General features: G+C 37.0%; 1 annotated feature.

Moving 5' to 3' along the window:
* Nucleotides 893–1,454: an enhancer, noted in NCBI's record as "NANOG hESC enhancer chr10:91951269-91951830 (GRCh37/hg19 assembly coordinates)". NCBI's record gives its function as "activates a minimal SCP1, AML or CMV promoter by ChIP-STARR-seq in primed H9 embryonic stem cells {active_cell/tissue: H9 hESC(primed)}" and the evidence as "EXISTENCE:reporter gene assay evidence [ECO:0000049][PMID:30033119]".

Consider the following 6,045-nt stretch of genomic DNA (forward strand, 5'->3'; position numbering starts at 1 on the left):
GTTTCACAGCTGGCAAGTCTAACTGGGTTTCAAATTGGAGTTTTCTAACTCTGCCCTAGGTAGTGTTCTCCCAGAAGTAGATCCTGGTCCAAGGACCTGAGTGCAAGTGATTAAGATGGAAATGCTCTCAGGCAAAACCAGTAAAGGAGTAGGGAAGCAGGCTAGGGACAGGCAGGAAAGCAGGCAAGGGCACATTTTGCAATGAAGCCTCAGATTTAGATTTTGCTTTGGGGCAAAGAAGCTAACATTTTGTGCTCCATCATAAGTCAGTCTGTGACTGGCCCAGTCACTTTCCTCTCTCCGGAGTAATCCTCTGACACAGGAGCATATAGCAGCAAAGCAAGTAGAAGACAGATGCACAGAGCTGGTTAAGGGCATCATCAGTGTCCACTAAAGATAAACTCTAAGACTCTCACTTGCTACTACGCCTTGTGGGCCCATTTGTTATAACTTTAGAATGAAAAATTTCCCCAAATAATGGAGACAAAATTGCAAGATAAAAAAGGTACCCAATGCAAGACAAGTACAAGAAAGAGACAGGTATTTCAGAAGGCATCTTTGAAGACTGCATGCAATTTCTTTAGTTTCAACAGAAAGAACCATCTGTATAAGATCTATAACTTCATAGCATTTGTGTAACATGAAATGCTTTCCCTTGAGCTTTCCCAAGAATAGAGGGAAAAGGAAAACATTCTTGTTTATTTTGTTTGTTTCCCTCTCCTAATTTCACATTTTTTGTGAAAGCCTGCACTTGGATGTACCAAGAACAAGTTGTTGATGTAATAAGTCAAGCTGGATCAATTCACCACTTATTAATAAAAATGAATTACTAGTACTCACATCCTGCTAAATTTTAAAAAATGTTCCTCCTATCTTTGTTTTCTCACACTGCTATAAAGATACTACCTGAGACTGCGTAATTTATAAACAACAACAAAAAAATTGACTCACAGTTCCATACCTCAGGAGACCTCAGGAAACTTACAATCATGGCAGAAGGTGAAGGAGAAGCAAGGTATGTCCTATATGGCGGCGGGAGAGAGTGAGTGAAAGAGTGAGTGAAATAGTGAGGAAATGCCACACTTAAAACCATCAGCTCTTGTGAGAACTCCCTCACTATCACAAGGACAGCATGGGGAAAACTGCCCCCATGAACCAATCACCTCCCAGCAGGTGCCTGTCTTGATATGTGGGGATTAAAATTCCAGATGAGATTTGGCTGGGGACACAGAGCCAAATAATAACAACTTCTCTTCATATCTTTATTTCCACTGGGTATGGTCAAATAATTAGTCAAAATAATGACATTTATTTGAATGAGCTGTGCCAATATTCTTCTGTGTTGACCATCACTTTACCAATTACTCATGGGAGTATACATACTCTAAATCCCCTCTTTGCCTTGGGAATTATAACCTTGACTGCAGTCACTTGTGGATCTTCCACTGAAAACCAGAATAATAGGGTTTGCAGAGTTCATGCCTCTGATGGTATGAGCTATATGCAATATTTCATACAGTTAATCCAGCAAATTACATGCATTGTATAATGTGGTTCTAATGTCAACTTTCCATCCCTCTTCCCCAAGGATTGGCAGAAATGCCTCTGACCTTCTCTCATGTGTCCTCATCTTTCCATGTTATTTATGGCCTTCATTATTCATTGGTCCCTGTCCCAAGACATTCTATTTCTCATGTTTCTTTGTGTCAAGAGGGATATTTCATTTTGATTAGGTTTATTCTATAGAAAATTCTCACCTTCTATCGTTGTTCAAAGTACATGCTTTCAGTAGAGGGCTTAACTGGCTTTCCTAAATTCAACTTTTATAGCATTCTTTGATATAAGAACATGAGGAATATTGGTCCTCTTTCAACACATGCTGTATAGTAAGAAAGCCATAACCACCAGTTACAAGAGCAATAGCCTCCCTCTCCTGCTCTGCACATTCTCTGACTTCTGCTATCTGAGTGATATTATCAATGTGTGGTATGTGTGTGCTACGGGGTCTAGAATTCCTGCATTTTTGTAAGGGATAGAACAAATTCTAGGTTTACTAGCACCTGAACCCCTTGCAAATACTTTCATTGACACTCGATGTGGGTTTCACAGAGGTGTTCTGTACATAGGGAGGGCCCAGGTTAAGAGTATGACTGTGCACATCTATCTGCATTATTGCTTCACATGGAAATGTAGCCTGGAAATTATAATCACATTTCTGGACCAGTTCACAGAATCTCTGTTCATATAAAAGCGTGAAATAGACTCATTGACTTTTTCTTTTAATAGTCAGTACAGTTAGTGAAATATGACTTGTCACTTACTACTAATCAAATATGAGGGTTTCAAAGTTTCTGTGACTCCAGAAAAAATGTGCTTATGCCTAATTTATAACCAGTTCCAGAAAAGTAAATGACATTCCATAGATCAAATACAAGATAGTCAAACTAGGATACATTAACATCACACTTAATTATATTTTTTAAATCACATGAAGCAATAAATTGAGATGGATTTGTAATTAGAGAGAAGCAGAGAAATTTTAGGCAACTGAAAAGACATTTATCATCACAAATGCAATTTTCTAACAAATAATACTGATTACTTCCATTATAGAAGCAGCCAGAATCTGACAATGAAAAGAAATGTTTCATAAACCCCTTTTTTAAAAGATGCTGAAATTCCGTATAATTCTTTCTACCTTCAACTGGATGGAAAACTGAACTCTTACTGTCATATGAAATACTCTTTACCACTCTTCTGTAGACATCACTTCTCATTTCTTGGAATGTGGACAAATTTCATAAGCATATCTCCAGGGTATTTTGTTGCTTTGGGTCAAAATTCATTTCATGGCTTTTGAAGAATGCTGAATTAAATAAACTGTAGAAGTAGAGTTCCTTAGCACAGAGATAATTTGTAACACAGAGGTAATTTTATAAGAAGGAATCATGACAGTAAAACATCGTACCACTGTGCTGTTTTAATGTAGCATCTAAAATGACTTGACTTGAATTTAGGAGGCAGCCCATGCAAAAGAGAGAATCCAAACAATTTTTTCTCCTGAAGATAATATGGAGTGGATGTTTATTAAAAGTGATACAGAGGTCTAGTGGTCACTGTCATCCATCTGGAATGTAGGCATAATCAGAAATGAACTAGTGCCAGGCAGAACTAGATCTTTCTGTGGTTGATCCATATCTTTGTGCTTTTCAGTGTTGCTCAAGGTTAAGATGAATTTCTGATCATTACCATATGTTTCATTTCCAGGACCAACTAGGGTTTCTAAACTTCATCCTTTCTTTTGCCTAGACTAATTATTATCTTCCCAAATATACAACTAGTGTTACATTCTATAATTTTGGATACAACTGAACCAAAACAAAACTGTCTACTGTCTCAGCTCACTGAAGGCACACTTATCTCAAGTATTTAAGATGTGTGAGAGGAATGAGAAAATGGCAAACTTTCTAAGGGATATGAAAATGCCTTTGGTTTTTCCTTGGAAAAAGAAGAAGAAAAAGCATATATCATGCTTTGGTTTAAAATGTATTGTTACAGCAGGTGAATTGGATGTATCTTGTAGTGAACATTGAGGCCTAACCTACAAAAATATTTAGGATTTTTCATTATTCAACCTATTTATAAGCAAAACAGAGCAACCTGTTAAAAAATATATACCTAAATTCCTCCAGTGAGACTTAGGTGTCAGCAAGGCAATTAAAAAGTCACCCCTTTTTCTGATGTAAAAATATTGGAAAGTAATCCATGAGAAGCAGCTCTGATTTTGACTGCCTTTCAAGTTGGCAGAGAAGGGCGCTTTAAGGGAGCTCTGAGCCTTATTCATGAACGAGATGTATATAGAGTCCTTGGAGTTTGCACAGCTATTTGAGACCTGACTTCACCAATATTAGAACTGTTTGTTCTAATAAATAGTTGAAGATGGAATTCCATCAACCGTCTCTTTTTTAAAGTTAGAGAGTCTCTAACACCCCCCCCCAAAAAAATCTATCTATCTATCTATCTATCTATCTATCTATCTATCTATCATCTATCTGTGTATCTAATCTATCTATGTGTATTATTATATGTAGGAAATATTTAAGACTTTGGAATAGGCAAAAGAGACTACTGGGCATTCTTTCACTGGAATGCTCTGAAGTAGAGTCTTGGGACTTATCTGTCCTATAGAGATGTGCACTTTTGCCTTTGCTAGACTATGATCCAACTCTGTAGAGAAAGACATTAACTTGTAGAAAATTGATGGTAATAGGGATATTTTCTCTTCTTTGCTATGCAAATGATTCCTTTTCAGTAGAGAGTATAAATCTCTATATAAATATTAGAGATTATTTGTTTTCTCATTAACGTGTCAATTTCTGACATGTTCTTTTTATATTTACATGAGTCATAATTTATATTTTTAAAAAATTATTCTTTAGCAGCATTCAATAAAGGATATCTTTTCCTTTTTAGGGTTAAAATGATTCTGGATAATGAGCAATGATGTCAGTAGGAATAGAATTGTTTGGTACTACCTGTGTAACATAAAACCAGAAATAGTTGGGGGATGAGGCAGGGCTGAGAGTATTGTGATATTGGGGGCAAAAAGCCAGTTTTGTGTTACACACACACACACACTCATAGCAGGACATTACATATATTTATGGGGTGGAGAAGAGATAGAGAGAGGTCATTTCATTTTCTGAAACTTTCCCCTTGCCTTTTATTTGATTCTTGACTTAATATTTCTAACACACAACATTATTTGTTTTCCCTTTTTCCTAGAATACATTTCACAGAATGCCTGCAATTTATACAGCAGCTATATTTATTTTGGCATACTGTCAGTTTTATTTCTTTCAAAATAAAATTTCAAAATACTTTGTCAGTTAAAAATTTCTGGGCCACATCCTGGAGAGTCTTGGCAATGCCACTAGTGAACACAGGCAGGGTTAAATGCCACTTTATCTCAGCACCACAGATGAACATTGATGGTGACAAGTTACCTTATTAATTAGAGCCCCACGCTTTGTTCTGACTGGGTGGGTGAACAATAATGCAACAAGAGCTTTAACAAATAAACTCACTGCAGGTCTCAGGCGTCACCATGGCACAGTCATCACTTTTTATATATTTTCATTTGTAATGATTTCTACTGGCTAATGCCCAAATAAAGGACAAACAAAAAAAAAATTAAAATCTGGGCTGGGCGTGGTGGTTAATGCCTGTAATTTTAGCACTTTGGGAGGCCAAGTGGGAGAATTGCTTGAAGCCAGGAGTTTAAGACCAGCATCTGGAACAAAAAAAGACCTTATCTCTACAAAAAAAGAAAAAAAAAATTAGCTGCATGCAGTGGCATGCACCTGTAGTCCTCAGCTACTTGGGAGGCTGAGGCGGGAAGATCACTTGAGCCCAAGAGGTGAATGCTAATTATATATATATATATATAAAATGGTTAATACTGAGTGTTAACTTGATTGATTGAAGGATACAAACTATTGATCCTATGTGTGTTTGTGAGGGTGTTGCCAAAAGATATTAACATTTGAGTTAGTGGGCTGAGAAAGGCAGACCCACCCTTAATCTGGGTGGGCACAATCTAATTAGCTGCCAGCACAGCTAGAATATGAGCAGGCAAAAAAATGTGAAAAGAGAGACTGGCCTAGCTTCCCAGCCTACATCTTTCTCCTGTGATGGATGCTTCCTGCCCTCGAACATTGGACTCCAAGTTCTTCAGTTCTGGAACTCAGACTGCCTCTCCTTGCTCCACAGCCTGGAGACAGTTTATTGTGAGACCTTTTGATCATGTGAGTTAATACTTAATAAATATATATATATATATATATATATATATATTCCATTAGTTCTGTCCCTCTAGAGAACCCTAATACAATACGTGTGTGTGTGTGTGTGTGTGTGTGTGTGTATATATATATATATATTTATGTACATATGTGTGTGTGTATTTATCTTTCTGTGCGCTTATTCTGAGGTGGTTCATAGTGGTATCCACTATTCCTCCATTCACCCATGTCATATAATTAA

The sequence above is a fragment of the Homo sapiens genome, chromosome 10 (assembly GCF_000001405.40).
Source record: "Homo sapiens chromosome 10, GRCh38.p14 Primary Assembly".
NCBI classification, from domain to species: domain Eukaryota; kingdom Metazoa; phylum Chordata; class Mammalia; order Primates; family Hominidae; genus Homo; species Homo sapiens.